At 42.2% G+C, this 19,652-nt stretch overlaps 1 pseudogene, besides 2 other annotated features; it reads right to left on the bottom strand.

The window, feature by feature from the left end:
• Positions 2,205 to 2,549, bottom strand: RN7SKP196 (RN7SK pseudogene 196; annotated as a pseudogene).
• Positions 14,349 to 15,548: an enhancer, noted in NCBI's record as "MED14-independent group 3 enhancer chr10:60615945-60617144 (GRCh37/hg19 assembly coordinates)". NCBI's record gives its function as "activates an origin of replication core promoter dependent on BRD2, BRD4, P300/CBP and CDK7 cofactors, and independent of MED14, by STARR-seq in HCT116 cells {active_cell/tissue: HCT116}" and the evidence as "EXISTENCE:reporter gene assay evidence [ECO:0000049][PMID:35650434]".
• Positions 14,595 to 15,211: an enhancer, noted in NCBI's record as "H3K27ac-H3K4me1 hESC enhancer chr10:60616282-60616898 (GRCh37/hg19 assembly coordinates)". NCBI's record gives its function as "activates a minimal SCP1, AML or CMV promoter by ChIP-STARR-seq in primed H9 embryonic stem cells {active_cell/tissue: H9 hESC(primed)}" and the evidence as "EXISTENCE:reporter gene assay evidence [ECO:0000049][PMID:30033119]".

Here is a 19,652-nt window from a genome sequence, read left to right as displayed (position 1 = left end):
ACCTGCCAGGTTGAAGTACAGTGGCACAATCATGGCTCAATGCAGCCTCCACCTCCTGGGCTCAAGCAATCCTCCCACCCCAGCCTCCCAAGTAGCTGGCACCACAGGTGTTCACCACCATGCCCAGCTAATTTTTGTATTTTTTTTGTAGAAACAGGGTTTCGCCATGTTGCCCAGGCTGGTCTTGTACTAATGAACTCAAGCAATCCTCCTCCCTTGGCCTCCCAAAGTGCTGGGCTTACAGGCACGAGCCACCACACTCAACCCATATTTTCAATTAATTAATTTCTCTTGTTTCAGAAGAAATTTGGGGATATTTGAGGTAGATATATGTACTCAGGCCACCTTTTGAACAAGATTTCAAAAATATTATCTTCATATTATTTTCCATCTCTTAAAAGCACCCTCTTGCCATTACTTCTAACAGAAATAACAGGTTGGTTATTAGCCAAATGGCTAAACTTGAACATGTTTTAAATTAATGTTCTTACAAGAATACATGGTAATAATGTTACACTGAGAAATATTTTTTCATTATTAATACTAATTAGACTAGTGTTTTTACTTTCTTTGCCCTTTGTGCAATACTCTATTTTAATCAAAGATTGCCAAAGCTGAAATCTCCTTTCTTTCAAAATTCTCTGTATTGGCACTTTCAAATATCTACTGTCTAACAATTCATTCATGTTGGCCCTAAGAAAAATGTAATTTATTTAAATGAATTTTAAATCCAAGATATACTAACTTATACACAGTGTAATTTAGTATAATTTTATAGGCATTTTGTATATTGTTATGCTTGGAGGAAAAAATTCAAATTCCAAATATATTAAGTATAAAAAATAAAACTACAAAATTGCTAGAAGAAAGTAAAGAACATATATTAATGAACTTTTGATAGAAAAAGTCAGAAACAATACAAAGCACAAATTAATAAAAAATTAAAATTTTTACCACATAAAAATTTTCAAATCTCATATGGCAAAAAAACAACATACACGGGGTGAAAAAAATAAGCCACAGACTAGGAAAAGGTATTTGCAGCATATATTAGACATAAGATTGTATCCAGAATATATAAAGAATTCTGGCCAATTAATAAGAAAAAGAAAAACAATACAATAGAAAATGGGTAAAGATCACTAAAAATTTAAAAAGGGATATTGAAATGACAAATATATGAAAATATATTCATCTTCTTGGAAATCAGATAAATATCAATAATAATACAACAAAAAATATTTCATGTTTTACTAATTAAGTTAGCAAATTTTGAAAAGTTTAACAATATCAAGTATTTGGTGAGATTGAGGAGGACATTAGTTGTTTTTCTATACGGCAGGTTGTAGATTAAATTGACATGGTCACAACGCAAAATAATTTAGCTTAAAAATCAATAACTCACACACACTATGATCAAGCAATTTCACTTCTAGCCATTTACCCTTGAACAGTGTTTCTCAAGCTTGGTAAACATCATTTGGTTTACGGTTAAAAGTACAAACTCCTAGGTTCCATCCCAGCCATTCCTGTCTCAGAATCTCCAATGGATGCCTCTTAGATACCTTCTGTTCATTCCTCCAAACCTACTCTCCGCCTTGCCCCCCTACTCTGTTCCCACCAGCCAAACTGTAAAACATTATAATTCAGAGGAAATTTGGTAGTCAGAAGGCACATACCTCAGCAATGAATTTAATTATCCCTACAATAAATGTAGTTATGGCCGACCTGAAAACAATAAAAGTATTGCCCCAAGCAATCAAACTATTTCCAACAAGAATACAAAAGTATTCAATGCCTAACAAGGTAAAATTTGCAATGTCTGCCATTCCTATCAAAGCTTATCAGGAAAATATAGTAGCCCTCAACAAGAATAAAAATTAACAATTGAAACTGACTCAGATGTATAAATGTTTCAATTATCAGACAAGCACTTAAAAATTATTATAACTATATTCCATATGTTCAAAAAGCTAGAGGAAAGATTGAACATTATAAATATGGAAGATATAAAAATATCCTTATTGAAATTCTAGAGGTGAAAATTACAATACATGAGATGAAAAATATACTTGTTTTGCAAATATTTTCCCTAGGTGCTTTTACTTTGTCTCCAGTGTCTTTTGATGCATAGATTTTAATTATATTTTAATGTAGCCATATTTATCAGTTTTCTTGCATAGATTGTGCTTTTCATCTTGTGTAAGAAATGTTTCCTCATCATTACCAAGGTCATAATTTTTTTTTTACATTTTCTTCTAAAAATATGCCCACTACCCTTATAATAATCCTCATTTTCTGCTTAAATTCGCCAGTAATAGTTTAACTGGTACAAAGGTTCTTGCAGGGGAGTTCTGTGACAGCTTACTTTTGATTGAAGAACAGTTCTTCTCTACTAGGGAACATCATTCTCTCTGACCAGGCACGGAATTTCAGGAGGATTCCTCACTATGTGATGAGTGAGGAAGAGAACATCAAGCCAGCCATATTAGTCACATGGACTCTGGCAACCGGTGAGTTGACAGATACCCCAGCTCCATCATCCTCAAGTCCTCATAATTGCCTGAGGTCACCAGCCAAGAAGGAAAGTAGTTTATGCCCAAGAGAATTCTGGATCCATAACAAGGAAAGAAATAACTTCCGCTAAGAGTTCTGCTCTCCCAGATCCATCAGACTGTATTTGAGAAACCGTGGCACCAACCATAAAAGATAAGGGCTTGGTGTTTTCAGCGTCTGAGCAAGAGCAGCTTATATTTCCCCAGTCAATATATTTCTGCCATGATTCATGGTGCTCCCCAGTTTATTTCCTGACTCATCTTTTTAGGAGGTCACAGTCAGCTTTTAATGTTCGGCTAGCCTCCTGACTCCTCTTTAAATAAATGAATAGATAATTAGAGGAGGAGATGAAATCTTAATTCAATCTCAATGACAGACTGTGTTTTGACAGAAGCAAAAACAAAGCAGAATAGGTTCTGGAGGCATGACATGTCGGTTATCACTACCCCCTTACACCGAAGATTATAATTCTGCCTTTGAAACATCCTTTGAAAATTTCTTACAGAAAGATAGAACTTCTTTAACTGTCTTATTTTTTTCTTGCATAATCATACCACATTACATTTACAGCATTTTGCATTTATTATTCCAAGTGATTTCAGTGTTATCAATGCAACATTCTTTTGATTGGACTGTTCTTCAAAAGGGAAAATTTTAAATCCACTATTTCTTCCCTATATTGCTTGAAAGAATGAGAATGCTATCAGTTACATAGTTCAAAGTACATATAGGGAAAAAAGGTGACTTTGACCAGAAGAAAACATTTTCTTTAAATTATCTTGTCCCCTACAAAATTCTGATAAAATTACAACATGCTTTACCTTATTTCTCAGTGTATGGAATAAATTGCATTTTGTTTTGCCTTGGAGTAGACCATGTACCAAAACAATATTAAATAATCACAATCTATGGTTTTCCTTTTGGACTTTATTGAAGCATGAACTGTGAGGGGCAATGCAACATTTTTTCTAATTGGCCCTTGTATTAAATTCTAATGCTAGACTCAAAATTCTATGCCAGTTATGAATTACTAGCGAGGTTATGTGAGGTTCTCAAAGCCAGAAAATAGTTGGTTATAATCACAGACAGCCAGTAAAGCCTTGGCCAGAAACTGGTGTTAAAGGGCTTTGAGCAAAATTAAATCCCATGGGATAGTGGTGTCCCACACCTCAGGCTCTAGGCAAGGCCCATAGCATCATGACCTGCAGCACTGAAACTGCAGACCCAATCAGGACCAGGCCTAGAAGATATATCTGGAGAATAAGGTGCTTCCCTAGGAAAGAGGAAGTGATTGAGATGTGTGTCCATATGCAAATGCAGATGTTTTGCTAATGCCTTCTTATCTCTCAGAAGACACTATACCCTCATTCTTTGTTGGCCAGAACAACTTAGAAAGCAACATAATCAGAACTCCACAAAAATACCCTGAGGAAGGCCAAGTTTATGTTTGTGCCTATCTTATTTGCTTTATAATCTCCCCTTCTTTTCCTCTTTATTCTCCTGGCATGCAGAATCTTCAATACCATTCCCTGACTGCCCAACCATTCCCCTGGGCAGTTATACAGGCCTGAGCTCTGTAAGCAGAAAACTCTTCCATCCTGAAATTCATTTGCCCTTTTCCCATGATTACAGACTCCTTGAGAAGGGCCAAAGGTGAGGACGTGGGGCAGTGTAAAAATTGTATGTCTTCTAACTCAGAGATCCAGGGTAACCTACTCAGGCTGCAAGCTGGTATTATGAGGGGCTAGTGGGGAACAAACCAAAAACTAAAATTATAGGTCATGCCTGAATATAGGGTAGAGAAACTTACCCCAAACAGCAAGTCACTACTTTCTAAATGGGGAGTGTCAGGCCTCTGAGCCCAAGCCAAGCCATCGCATCCCCTGTGACTTGCACGAATATGCCCTGATGGCCTGAAGTAACTGAAGAATCACAAAAGAAGTGAATATGCCCTGTCCCACCTTAACTGATGACATTCCACCACAAAAGAAGTGAAAATGGCCAGTCCTTGCCTTAAGTGATGACATTACCTTGTGAAAGTCCTTTTCCTGGCTCATCCTGGCTCAAAAAGCACCCCCACTGAGCACCTTGCGACCCCCACTCCTGCCCGCCAGAGAACAAACCCCCTTTGACTGTAATTTTCCTTTACCTACCCAAATCCTATAAAGCGGCCCCACCCTTATCTCCCTTTGCTGACTCTCTTTTCGGACGCAGCCCGCCTGCACCCAGGTGAAATAAACAGCCATGTTGCTCACACAAAGCCTGTTTGGTGGTCTCTTCACATGGACACACATGAAATTTGGTGCCGTGACTCGGATCGGAGGACCTCCCTTGTGAGATCAATCCCCTGTCCTCCTGTTCTTTGCTCCGTGAGAAAGATCCACCTACGACCTCAGGTCCTCAGACCCACCAGCCCAAGGAACATCTCACCAATTTTAAATCAGGTAAGCGGCATCTTCTTACTCTCTTCTCCAACCTCTCTCACTGTCCCTCAACCACTTTCTTCTTTCCACTCTTCAATCTCTCCCTTCTCTTAATTTCAATTCCTTTCATTTTCTGGGAGAGACAAAGGAGACACGTTTTATCTGTGCACCCAAAACTCCGGCGCCGGTCACAGACTGGGAAGGCAGCCTTCCCTTGGCGTTTAATCATTGCAGGGACACCTCTCTGATTATTCACCCACGTTTCAAAGGTGTCAGACCTATGCATACGTATGTTTATTGCGGCACCATTCACAATAGCAAAGACTTGGAACCAACCCAAATGTCCAACAATGATAGACCGGATTAAGAAAATGTGGCACATATACACCATGGAATACTATGCAGCCATAAACAATGATGAGTTCATGTCCTTTGTAGGGACATGGATGAAATTGGAAATCATCATTCTCAGTAAACTATCGCAAGGACAAAAAACCAAACACCGCATGTTCTCACTCATAGGTGGGAATTGAACAGTGAGAACACATGGACACAGGAAGGGGAACATCACACTCTGGGGACTGTTGTGGGGTGGGGGGAGGGGGGAGGGATAGCATTAGGAGATATACCTAATGCTAAATGACGAGTTAATGGGTGCAGCACCCCAGCATGGCACATGTATACATATGTAACTAACCTGCACATTGTGCACATGTACCCTAAAACTTAAAGTATAATATTAACAAAAAAAAGAAAAAGAAAAAAAAAAAGAAAAAAAAACAAAGGTGTCAGACCACGCAGGGACGCCTGCCTTGGTCCTTCACCCTTAGCAGCAAATCCTGCTTTTCTGGGGAAGGGGCAAGTACCCCAACCCCTTCTCTCCTTGTCTCTACCCCTTCTCTACTTTCCTGGGGCAGGGGCAAGTACCCCTCAACCCCTTCTCCTTCATCCTTAGTGGCAAGTCCCGCTTTCCTGGGGCAGGGGCAAGTACCCCTCAACCCCTTCTCTTTCACCCTTAGCGGCAAGTCCCGCTTTCCTAGGGGCAAGAACCCCCAATCCCTTATTTCTGCACCCCAACCTCATATCTCTGCACCCCAATCCCTTATTTCTGTGCCCCGACCCCTTATTTCTACACCCCATCCCTTATTTCCGTGCCCCGACCTCTTATCTCTGTGCCCCAACACCTTTTCCCACTTTTCTGGAAGGTAAGAACCCCCGAACCCCTTCCCTCCATTTCTCTACTCTCTCTTTTATCTAGGCTTGCTTCCTTCACTATAGGCAACCTTCCACCCTCCATTCCTCCTTCTACTCCCTTGGCCTGTGTTCTCAAAAACTTAAAACCTCTTCAACTCACACCTGACCTAAAACCTAAATGCCTTATTTTCTTCTGCAATACCACTTGACCCCAGTACAAACTTGACAGTAGTTCCAAATAGCCAGAAAATGGCACTTTGAATTTTTCCATCCTGCAAGATCTAAATAATTCTTGTCGTAAAATAGGCAAACGGTCTGAGGTGCCTGAAGTCCAGGCATTCTTTTACACATCAGTCCCTTCCTAGTCTCTGTGCCCCGTGCAACTCGTCCCAAATCTTCTTTCCCTCCCACCTGTCCCCTCAGTCCCAATCCCAAGAGTCGCTGAGTCTTTCTAATCTTCCTTTTCTACAGACCAATCTGACCTCTCCCCTCCTCGCCAGGCCGAGCTAGGTCCCAATTCTTCCTCAGCCTCCGCTCCTCCACCCTATAATCTTTTTATCGCCTCCCCTCCTCACACCTGGTCGGGCTTACAGTTTCGTTCCATGACTAGCCCTCCCCCACCTGCCCAGCAATTTACTCTTAAAAAGGTGGCTGGAGCCAAAGGCATAGTCAACGTTAATGCTCCTTTTTCTTTATCACAAATCAGATAGTGTTTAGGCTCTTTTTCATCAAATATAAAAATCCAGCCCAGTTCATGACTTGTTTGGCAGCAACCCTGAGACACTTTACAGCCCTAGACCCTAAAAGGTCAAAAGGCCGTCTTATTCTCAAAATACATTTTATTACCCAATCTGCTCCCGACATTAAATAAAACTCCAAAAATTAAATTCCAGCCCTCAAACCCCACAACAGGATTTAATTAACCTCACCTTCAAGGTGTACGATAATAGAAAAAAGTTGCAATTCCTTGCCTCCACTGTGAGACAAACCCCAGCCACATCTCCAGCACACAGGAACTTCCAAACGCCTGAACCGCAGCGGCCAGCCATTCCTCCAGAACCTCCTCCCACAGGAGCTTGCTACACGTGCTGGAAATCTGGCCACTGGGCCAAGGAAGGCCCGCAGCCCAGGATTCCTTCTAAGGCACGTCCCATCTGTGTGGGACCCCACTGAAAATCGGACTGTTCAACTCACCTGGCAGCCACTCCCAGAGCCCATGGAACTCTGGCCCAAGGCTCTCTGACTGACTCCTTCCCAGATCTTCTCGGCTTGGCGGCTGAAGACTGACACTGCCCGATCGCCTCAGAAGCCCCCAGACCATCACGGACGCCGAGCTTTGGGTAACTCTCACAGTGGAAGGTAAGTCCCTCCCCTTCTTAATCAATACGGAGGCTACCCACTCCACATTACCTTCTTTTCAAGGGCCTGTTTCCCTTGCCTCCATAACTGTTGTGGGTATTGACGGCCAGGCTTCTAAACCTCTTAAAATTCCCCAACTCTGGTGCCAAATTAGACAATACTCTTTTAAGCACTCCTTTTTAGTTATCCCCACCTGCCCAGTACCCTTATTAGGCTGAGACACTTTAACTAAATTATCTGCTTCCCTGACTATTCCTGGACTACAGCTATATCTCATTGCCGCCCTTCTTCCCAATCCAAAGCCTCCTTTGTGTCCTCCTCTTGTATCCCCCGACCTTAACCCACAAGTATAAGATACCTCTACTCCCTCCTTGGCGACCGATCATGCACCCCTTACCATCCCATTAAAACCTAATCACCCTTACCCCACTCAACGCCAATATCCCATCCCGCAGCACGCTTTAAAAAGATTAAAGCCTGTTATCACTCGCCTGCTACAGCATGGCCTTTTAAAACCTATAAACTCTCCTTACAATTCCCCCATTTTACCTGTCCTAAAACCAGACAAGCCTTACAAGTTAGTTCAGGATCTGCGCCTTACCAACCAAATTGTTTTGCCTATCCACCCCGTGGTGCCAAACCCATATACTCTCCTATCCTCAATACCTGCCTCTATAACCCATTATTCTGTTCTAGATCTCAAACATGCTTTCTTTACTATTCCTTTGCACCCTTAATCCCAGCCTCTCTTCACTTTCACTTGGACTGACCCTGACACCCATCAAGCTCAGCAAATTACCTAGGCTGTACTGCTGCAAAGCTTCACAGACAGCCCCCATTACTTCAATCAAGCCCAAATTTCTTCCTCATCTGTTACCTATCTCGGCATAATTCTCATAAAAACACACGTGTTCTTCCTGCCAATCGTGTCCGACTGATCTCTCAAATCCCAGCACCTTCTACAAAACAACAACTCCTTTCCTTCCTAGGCATGGTTAGCGTGGTCAGAATTCTTACACAAGACCCAGGACCACACCCTGTAGCCTTTCTGGCCAAACAACTTGACCTTACTGTTTTAGCCTAGCCCTCATGTCTGCGTGCAGCGGCTGCCGCTGCATTAATACTTTTAGAGGCCCTCAAAATCACAAACTATGCTCAACTCACTCTCTACAGTTCTCATAACTTCCAAAATCTATTTTCTTCCTCATACCTGATGCATATATTTTCTGCTTCCCGGCTCCTTCAGCTATACTCACTCTTCGTTGAGTCTCCCACAATTACCGTTGTTCCTGGCCCAGACTTCAATCCGGCCTCCCACATTATTCCTGATACCACACCTGACCCCCATGACTGTATCTCTCTGATCCACCTGACATTCACCCCATTTCCCCAAATTTCCTTCTTTCCTGTTCCTCACCCTGATCATGCTTGATTTGTTGATGGCAGTTCCACCTGGCCTAATCACCACACACCAGCAAAGGCAGGTTATGCTATAGTACAAGCCACTAGCCCGCCTCTTAGAACCTCTCATTTCCTTTCCATCGTGGAAATCTATCCTCAAGGAAATAACTTCTCAGTGTTCCATCTGCTATTCTACTACTCCTCAGGGATTATTCAGGCCCCCTCCCTTCCCTACACATCAAGCTCGAGGATTTGCCCCACCCAGGACTGGCAAATTAGCTTTACTCAACATGCCCTGAGTCAGATAACTAAAATACCTCTTAGTCTAGGTAGATACTTTCACTGGATAGGTAGAGACCTTTCCTACAGGGTCTGAGAAGGCCACCGCAGTCATTTCTTCCCTTCTGTCAGACATAATTCCTCAGTTTAGCCTTCCCACCTCAATATAGTCTGATAACAGACGAGCCTTTATTAGTCAAATCAGCCAAGCAGTTTTTCAGGCTCTTAGTATTCAGTGAAACCTTTATATCCCTTACGGTCCTCCGTCTTCAAGAAAAGTAGAATGGACTAAAGGTGTTTTAAAAACACATCTCACCAAGTTCAGCCACCAACTTAAAAAGGACTGGACAATACTTTTACCACTTTCCCTTCTCAGAATTCAGGCCTGTCCTCGGAATGCTACAGGGTACAGCCCATTTGAGCTCCTGTATAGACGCTCCTTTTTATTAGGCCTCAGTCTCATTCCAGACACCAGACCAACTTACACTGTGCCCCCCAAAAAAACTTGTCATCCTTACTATCTTCTGTCTAGTCATACTCCTATTCACCATTCTCAACTACTCATACATGCTCTGCTCTTGTTTACACTGCTGGTTTACACTGTTTTTCCAAGCCATCACAGCTGATATCTCCTGGTGCTATCCCCAAACTGCCACTCTTAACTCTTGAAGTAAATAAATAATCTTTGCTGGCAGGACTATGCTGAGTCTCCTTAGGCACTCCCTGATCAGATATCCTGAGTCGTCCCAATTCTTAGACCTTTTATACCTGTTTTTCTCCTTCTGTTATTCCATTTAGTTTCTCAATTCATCCAAAACCGTATCCAGGCCATCACCAATCATTCTATATGACAAATGTTTCTTCTAACATCCCCACAATATCACCCCTTACCACAAGGCCTCCCTTCAGCTTAATCTCTCCCACTCTAGGTTCCCACGCCGCCCCTAATCCCACTTGAAGCGCCCTGAGAAACATCGCCCATTCTCTCTCCATACCACCCCCCAAAAATTTTCACCACCCCAACACTTCAACACTATTTTGTTTTATTTTTCTTATTAATATAAGAAGGCAGGAATGTCAGGCCTGTGAGCCCAAGCCAAGCCATCACATCCCCTGTGACTTGCACGAATACGCCCAGATGGCCTGAAGTAACTGAAGAATCACAAAAGAAGTGAATATGCCCTGTCCCACCTTAACTGATGACATTCCACCACAAAAGAAGTGAAAATGGCCGATCCTTGCCTTAAGTGATGACTTTACCTTGTGAAAGTCCTTTTCCTAGCTCATCCTGGCTCAAAAAGCACCCCCACTGAGCACCTTGCGACCCCCACTCCTGCCCGCCAGAGAACAAACCCCCTTTGATTGTAATTTTCCTTTACCTACCCAAATCCTATAAAACGGCCCCACCCTTATCTCCCTTTGCTGACTCTCTTTTTGGACTCAGCCCGCCTGCACCCAGGTGAAATAAACAGCCATGTTGCTCACACAAAGCCTGTTTGGTGGTCTCTTCACACGGACGCGCATGAAAGGGAGATTTTATATTTTTAATTGCACTATAAAAAACTGAGGGATTTCTGTTCCTTATATGAAAGTTCCAGAGTCCCTAATGCAGAGAGAGAGAGAGCAGGGGTAAAGTACTGTCTACAGTGACAAAATCAGCAGACACTGAGGGCTGAAGGAGACACAGGTCTCCCTCCAATCTGTCTTCATTTATCTGGTTTCTACCCATTGTTCCAGCAGTGAGCTTAGTGTGATTGTCTTCCAAACGCTCCTCCGTGTTCTATCCCTACCCCACCATCCCAGTAGGGTTTGATGCTTTCCTTATCCATGCTTGTGTCATAGTTTTTTTAGGTTGGTGCAAAAGTAATCATGGTTTTTGCCATTGAAAGTAATGGTAAAAACCGCGACTACTTTTGCACCAACCTAATACTATGCAGTCCTGTCATCACTGATGTATTTCTCTGTCACTCATCATAATGTAAGTGTCATGCAAATATGTTATGTCTTATTTGACCTGTTATCATGGGGCTTGGCACAGGCGTGGCATATTGTAGGTATTCCAACAGTGAGGTTAGGAATGAATAACTCATATTCACAAAGCAACCACATTGTTCATTCAGCTTTATGTTCATATCAAATATCGGATAACCAGAAGTATGAACAGTTAAAGGTAACAAAAAGATGCAGATGGTACCACCTATACATTATCTACTCTATTAAATATTCAAGAATGGCTTAGAACAATTATCTAGAATGTATTATCAGTCTGCCTGGATTCTGGTAAAAATGGAAGGTAGTGAAAAGAATGTGAGTGTATATGTCAGGTAAAGATATTTTGCTGTTGGCCTTTCCCATGCAGCGGCTGGCATGGGGCTCACTCATCTTTCAGGGTTGCCATGGATAACATTGGCTTTTCCTTGGAACCATGAACTTTGCTTGTGAGTCAGGAAGAATCTCATTGTTTGGCCACTCAGGGAGTGAGATATCGAGCCCAAAGGATAGGTGCTTCCAAGGATTCTGGCAAGAGGAGCAAATAGACAATGTAATGCTGTATGGAAGCATGCCTTGTGTGGGAAAGAGAGGGAGGGAAGACTGTAGAAAGGCCTTTGCAAGCCAGAGAAGGTATCAGATGAAAAAAGAAGGATAGTGAATGCTATCCAAGCAGGGGATAGAAGGGACAAAAGACACAGGACAAATCTTTTGGGACCAGGCAAGCAGTGATGAGCAGCATCTGAAGAAAGAATTCCATGACCTGTTGGCTCTTCTCCAGATACTTCATGGTGCTGAGCTGGCTCCAGACAGGCAAAAGCCTTCATTTACAGCTGGTAAGCAATATTGTGATTGTAACCAAATCCTCTGGGAGTTGGTAAACCATTTCCATGAGTCTCATGAAAATATGCTTTGTTATAAAGTGAGACTGTATCTGCTCAGCTACCGGGTTCATAGAAATTTGCTACAGCATCCCTTGCCGTTGAAATACCAAAGAACCCAAATGTCTATTTTAAAGTTAACATCTGCTGCACCTTAACCAAGAACAATGACAGTCCAAGGACCAAGTTCAATAATCACCAGTAGTGCCTCATATATGATTATTTGGTGAACATGACTAAATTGTTTTGGCACCAAATCTATGTTAACTTATCGTGTATAGGAAAGTATAAATATGTATTAAGCAAGCAGGGTGCCAGGCAATATGCTGGAAATTTTACCTAGTCATCTCATTTAATTCTCATAAGTAATCTATGAGATAAGACTTTACAGATGAGGGAATTGAGGCTCGAAGAGGTGAATTAAATTGCCCATGACTACACAGCTAGGAAGTAATAGAGGTATATTTTGTAGCTGTGTCTATTAAACTCTTTCCATTTGCACTATTCTGTCCTCAAAACACTTAATATATGTTAACTTAAATATAAGACCTCAAACCATGAAACTACACCAGGAAAACATTGGGGAAAATCTCTAGGACATTAATCTGGGCAAAAATTTCTCGAGCAATACCCAACAAGCACAGGTAACCAAAGCAAAAGTGGACAAATGAGATCACATCAAGTTAAAAAGCTTCTGCACAACAAAGGATACAATTCACAGTGAAGACACAACTCACAGAATGGGAAAAAATATTTGCAAACTACCCATCTGACAAGGGATTAGTAACCAGAATACATAAAGAACTCAAACAACTCTATAGGAAAATATCTAATAATCCAGTCAAAAGATGGCCGAAAGATTTGAATAGACATCTCTCAAAAGAAGACATAGAAATGGCAAGCAGGTATATGACAAGGTGCTAAACAGCACTGATCATCAGAGAAATGCAAATCAAAATCACAATGAGACATCATCTCACTCCAATTAAAATGGCTTGTATCCAAAAGACAGGCAATAAAAAATTCTGGCAAGGATGTGGAGAAAAGGGAACAAACACTTGTACGCTGTCAGTGGGAATGTAAATTAGCACAACCACTGTGGAAAATTGTTTGGAGATTCCACAAAACACTAAAAATTGAGCTACCATTTGATCCAGCAATCCCACTGCTGGGTATATACCCAAAAGAAAGGCAATCAGTATATCGACAAGATATCTGCACTTTCATGTTTGTTGCAGCACTGTTTACAATAGCTAACATTTGGAAGTAACATTAGTGTCCATCAACAGGTGGATGGATTAAAAAAAACTGTGGCACATATATACAATGGAGTACTACTCAGCCAGTAAAAAGAAGGAGATCCAGTCATTTGCTACAACATGGATGGAACTGGAGATCATTATGTTAGGTGAAATATAAACCAGGAAGAAAAAGACAAACATCACATGTTCTCACTTTTTTGTGGGATCTAAAAATCAAAACAATTGAACTCATGGACATAGAGAGTAGAAGGATGGTTACCAGAGGCTGGGAAGGGTAATAGGGGGTTGAGGGAGGTGAGGATAGTTAATGGAAACAAAAAAAGTAGAAAGAATGAATAAGACCTACTATTTGATAACACAACAGGGTGACTATAGTTGATAATAACAGTACATCTTTTAAAAACTTAGAGTGTAATTGGACTGTTTGCAACTTGGAATAAGCGCTTGAGGGGATGGATACCCATTCTTCAAAGTGTGTGTGTGTATATATATATGTGTGTGTGTGTATATATATATATATGTGTGTGTATATATATATGTGTGTGTGTATATATATGTGTGTGTATATATATATGTGTGTGTATATATATATACACATACAGGTAACGAAACTGAGGTTAGAGAATTGAAGTAACATGCCCAGGGTCATAGATATTAAAGGGAAGATCTGGGATTAAATACAGGAAGTCTGATTCCAGAAATCACACTCTCAACACATTCTTTTGCCTCTGTTTTCAAATATTTGAGAACTAAGTGCTTTTCAGAACTTTAAACATTCTAGACATTCTAGGGAATGCCACAAAATCCAAAATGGCATCAATAAGCATCTAAAGGGAAATGTGCCTGGCCAGTCTTAGGGATGAGGGATGTGACAAACTGACTAACTGAATGGGAAAGCCCCTGAAACCTCTGGAATATTATGCTTCTGCAACGTACTCCCACTGTGACACCTGACCTTAGCCCAACACCTCCTGCTGGAACTTTGGAAGTTCAGGACAGAAGCCTCAAAGGATTCTGCAGAAGCCTGGCCTCAGTGCTGAGGCAGGATCTACCTCCAACATCAGCAGCTGCCCCACTTTAGGACTCCCATACCACCTGCTTGCCAGCGCTAGATCTGAAAGATGGGAAAACATATAAAATCTATAAAAACCGAACATGCACTTCATAGGCAGAAAATAGTTCAGATCTGAAAGGTTAATGGGGCACCCTTACTTTCCAGGGCTGCTTGCAATGTGTCTCATGAAGAACTCAGCCACCTCTGAAGGACGGGCTGCCGTGGGAACAGAGTGAGCTGAAACATCTGAAAGCCACACAGGGTGAGTGAGCAACCATCTTGGTTCGCCAAGGACTGAGGGGGCTTCCCAGGACAGGCACCTGTAATCCCAGCTACTCAGGAGGCGGAGGCAGGAGAATGACGTGAAGCCGGGAGGCAGAGGTTGTAGTGAGCCAAGACAGTGCCATTGCACTCCAGCCTGGCCGACAGAGTGAGACTCTGTCTCAAAAAATAAAAATAAAAATAATGAAATGCATCATCATTCATATCTGTCCCCTCATTCCCAGAAAGTTCTATTTAGAACTTTCAGTGCTAAAAACCAGTTGGTCACCCTCCACCCATGTAATGGTCAACAAGAACCCCAGGGAGTCCTCTGCATTCCAGCACATTCCATTCATGCCATGCTATACCATTCACAGCTAACAGAGCTGCCCAGTCATGCACACATGTTCTGACTGTCAGCATTTGGACACCCACTTCAGCGCTTACTGTTATAACTGCAGCACCCACTTCCTTAGAACAGCTGCTTTATTTGCAGCCCTGGTCTGCTTAAATCAGATGAAATTATTTTCACAAGTTGCTGTCTCACAGCCAGAGAAGAGGCAGAGTTTGATGGCTTGTTTAGAATTTAACTCTATCACCTTGAGTTGCTGAACCTCTGAACTGGTCACAGAATAAACTGCTATCAATCTGGGATAGAGGGATCAGATATGAATGATGATGCATTTCATCATTTTTATTTTTATTTTTATTTTTATTTTTTGAGACGGAGTCTCACTCTGTCGCCCAGGCTGGAGTGCAATGGCACTGTCTCGGCTCACTGCAACCTCTGCCTCCCAGGTTCACGCCATTCTCCTGCCTCAGCCTCCCAAGTAGCTGGGATTACAGGCACCTGCCACCAAGCCCAGCTAATTTTTTGTATTTTTAGTAGAGACAGGGTTTCGCCATGTTGGCCAGTCTGGTCTCAAACTCCTGACCTCATGATCCGCCCGCCTCAGCTTCCCAAAGCGCTGGGATTACAGGCATGAGCCACTGCGCCCAGCAGCATTTCACCAGTTTTAAAATTCTCAGTTACAAAGCAGTACCTGGAACTGGTTCCAAAGAAGAGTTTTGACTAATTGTTTCACATTAAGTTTTTCAACCCCTGTATATAATTAGCTTCTTGGGAGTATGTATCTGTCTGTGGGCAGGGCCTGGTGTTCCTTGGGAATCCTGAAGATTAAGCAATTTAGCGTATGAGCATTTAAAGTGCAGTCAGCCCCATTTAAAAATGACCATTATAAGCCAAGCTGAGCCCCTGCCTTTAAGAGAGGCCTCAGTCGAGGGTCAGGTGTGGTGGCTCCTGACCGTGTTTCCAGCACTTTGGGAGGCTGAGGCTGGTGAGAAGATTGCTTGAACTCACTAGTTCAAGAACACCCTGGGCAACATGGCGAAATCCTGTCTCTACAAAAAATACAAAAATTAGCCGGGTATGATGTAGTCCCAGCTACTTAGGAGGCTGAGATGGGAGGATGGCTTGAGCCCACGGAGGAGGCTGAGATGGGAGGTTGCAGTGAGCCATGATTACACCACCGCACTCCAGCCTGGGTGACAGAGTGAGACCACTCTGTCTCAACAACAACAACAAAAAGGTCTCAGTCTAATTAGAGAACTGCAAACACAGAATCCTGTAAGCCCCAGGGATTACAGATGTCAGGAGCTGTTATTATGGATTTATTTCTGACCCACAGGGGATGAGGGGAACCAGGTGTGAGTTCAAGCACAGAAGTCCCTGCTGACTGCAGTGTGGCATCCTTCCAAAGTAATCCCCTGACTTTGTGTCTCTTCTCCTTTGGGAAGGCCAATGGGTGCCCTGAGACTGTCACATCTAGAAGAAAGGCTCTTGGAAGTTGTGTGCCCTCCCACCTCCTCCTCTATCCAGCACATGACCAACCCTATGGTTCAGCCCCAGAGACTGCGCTGCTGTCTCTGGTGGAAGTGCCTACTGGAGCCACATAGTCTCTGATTATACCAAAAGGATCCAGCCCTGAACAGATGGCCACCTTGCTCACATTGGACTTCATATCTGGCCAAGATAACAGCATTATCTAGCATTATCTATCTAATGAGCAATCTAGCAAATGAGGTTGAACATGCAAGTATCATTCTGCATTTAAACGTCCCAGCTGTTGGCTCCTAGGCTGTGGGCCATGGAGCAGGCTGAGATGGGCCTGAGCATAAAGTATAGGCATGAGATGGGCCTCTCAAACCAACCAAGGCACCAGATGGAGTTAGAAAGCATTACTTGCATTTAGATTGAGTCTCATAACCTCTTATGAACCAAGGGCAGGCTGGCCAACTCCCACCAGGGAAATGACATTAGAGTGTTTAGGGAACAGCTATTTTCCTGCTGATAAAAGCAGCATGTGTTGATTTACTTTATTATCTATTGCAGTGGTTCTTAAACTTTAGCTTTTAGAAGATCACCTGGAGGACTTTTAAAACACAGGGTAGGTCCTTGTGGGGCTTGAGAATTGGCATTTCTAGCACATTTCCAAGTGATGCAGATGCTACTAGTTCCGGGATCATGCTTGAGAAGCACTTATTTACAGGGAATAATCCCATATCACAAACATCTTCTCCAGACTCAGCCCTTATAAAAATTATTGTGAAGTGCCATATACCAACATGCCCACATATTTAGTAGAAAAAAAGGGAGGGATACTCACAGCTAACATTCAATCACCTAAATAGCAATATTTATTGAGCACCTACCATGTGCAAAACCAGACTGAACTCTGTAAAGATGAAAAGGAAGTGTCAAATTTGGTAGGAATCAGAATTAAATACTTTTTTGGAGGCCACTGGTCAATATATATAAAAAACCTTGAAGTGTGCCACTCTTTCACCAAGCAACTCCGTGTCTAGGAATCTAAACCAAGAAAATAAAGATGTGACAAAATTAAGCTAGAAAAAGTTCACTGAAGCTTTTTAAAAGTGAAAAGGTAGAAATCTAAATGGCTGGTATATATATATCCTTATACACACACACCTCCCACGATTCTCTAGATCAGTGGTTCTGGAATGTCTCGAGACAGTTTTGATTGTTACAGCTCGGGAGTAGTTTGCTCCTAGCATCTAGTGGGTAGAAGCCAAGGATGCTGCTGAATATTCATCCTATCATGCACAGGACAGTCCTCACAACAAAGAGTCATCTGGCCCAAAGTGTCAGTCAAGAGTGCCAAGACTGAGAAATCTTGACCTAGACTCATGTGCCAGGGATTCCAACAGAGTCACACTCACTAAAATAGCTGCCATTTCCTAGAATCAGGCTGCCACCTGAATAATGAAAGGCTTTGTTCCCCTCAAAATTTCATACTGTTGAGGTAGGGAATAGAATGGTGGTTACCAGAGGCTGGGAGGGTAGTGTGGTGAAGAGATATAAACAGGAATTGGCTAATGAGTAAAAAAAAAAAAAAAAATAGTTAGAAGGAATAAAATATAATGCTTGGTAGCACAATAGGGTGACTATAGTTAACAATAATTTATTGTATATTTCAAAATAATTAGAAGAGTAGATTTGGAATGTTCCTAACACAAAGGAATGATAAATGCTTGAGGTGATGAATATCCCAATTACCCAGATTTGATCATTGCACATTGTGTACTTGTTTCAAAACATTACGTGTACCCCATCAGTATGTACATTATGTATTCATAAAATTTTTTTAGGTCTCATGCTGTTATTTCTGTGTCCTGGAGCTGTCTCAAGTGAATTCACACAGTTCATGTAGTCTTTCTCTCTCCGCTCCTGCCCTTGTGGTGGCACGTGCAAGAGAAGTCCCTTAGGAGCAGCAACTCACCCTGCATAGATGCCTGCACCCTCCAGGGAAACACTGATGAGGCCAAGTGTGCTGTCCCTGGTGTGCCCAGAGCTAGCTAACACAGTTCTCAGGGCATCCCACCATGGCTCTGCAGGCTTAGAGAGAACCCCCTGCCCACCTCTGTCTCATTTAGTTACCTGGAAACCAAAGAGGTACTATTGGTCAGTCTCATGGAGTACGCTGTGAGAGCAGTTATTCCAGCTTCTGCCTATAGCTGCTATCTATAATGCTCCAATACAAGCGTGAGGGGCCCAGCCAGGAGACCACAGAGCTAGGAAAAGACTGTTCTGTCCTTTTGTATCTAAAGCACTTGAGCCAACCACTTTTCTCCTCCTATAGAAAACAATCTGCATGCAAATAAATATTTTAAAATGTATACACAAATACAGGTGGACTAAGTACTATAAGTTCAGAGAAAGGCCCAATTATTCCAGTTGACATTTTCCACAGCAGGCTGGAGGTCCCTCACCAGCAGCCACATTAGCCAGGCTCACTCCCATTCCTTTGCCTTCACTTATTCTCCAATAGAAGGTCTACTGCCTCCTTTCTGCCTACCCAAATCCTATTATCTTTCGAGGCCTAGTTCTCATCTCCTTCGGGAAGGTTTTGAAATCAGCTAGAATGCTTTTAGCTATTAGTGAGGGAATTTTTTAAAATTTAGTTTTATTATTTAATGTAAAAAAAAAGTCTGAAGGTAGAGAGTTCCAAAATTAAGCGATTCAGTAGCTCAGGGACTTTTCCTTAATTCTCTTGATTTTTGTCTCAGAGTCACAAGATGGTTGCCACAGCACCTCATCATCATGAAAACACCCAAAGGCCCAGGGAGTAAGGAGGAGATGTTCTGCCTCTCTCTTGCTGGAGGCACAAGAAGAAATTTAATTAGAAGCCTCTATATTTTTCTTTGTTAAATACATTATTTATCAGGCAGTTTTAGGTTTACAAGAAAATGAAGAGAAAGGTACAGAGATTTCCAATATACTCCCTGACCCTACACATGCGTAGCCTCCCCCATTATCAATATCCCTCACCAGAGTGGTACATTTCTTACAACTGACGAACCTACATTGACACTTCATTATCACCCAAAGTTCATAGTTCACAATAGCGTTAACTCTTTGTTTTATAAATTCTATGGGTTTAGACAAATGCATAATAAAATGTGTTCATCATTA

This window comes from Homo sapiens, chromosome 10 (genome assembly GCF_000001405.40).
Source record: "Homo sapiens chromosome 10, GRCh38.p14 Primary Assembly".
Classification (NCBI taxonomy): Eukaryota; Metazoa; Chordata; class Mammalia; order Primates; family Hominidae; genus Homo; species Homo sapiens.
Note: the sequence above shows the minus strand (reverse complement) of the source record. Positions and strands in the feature narration are given on the sequence as shown.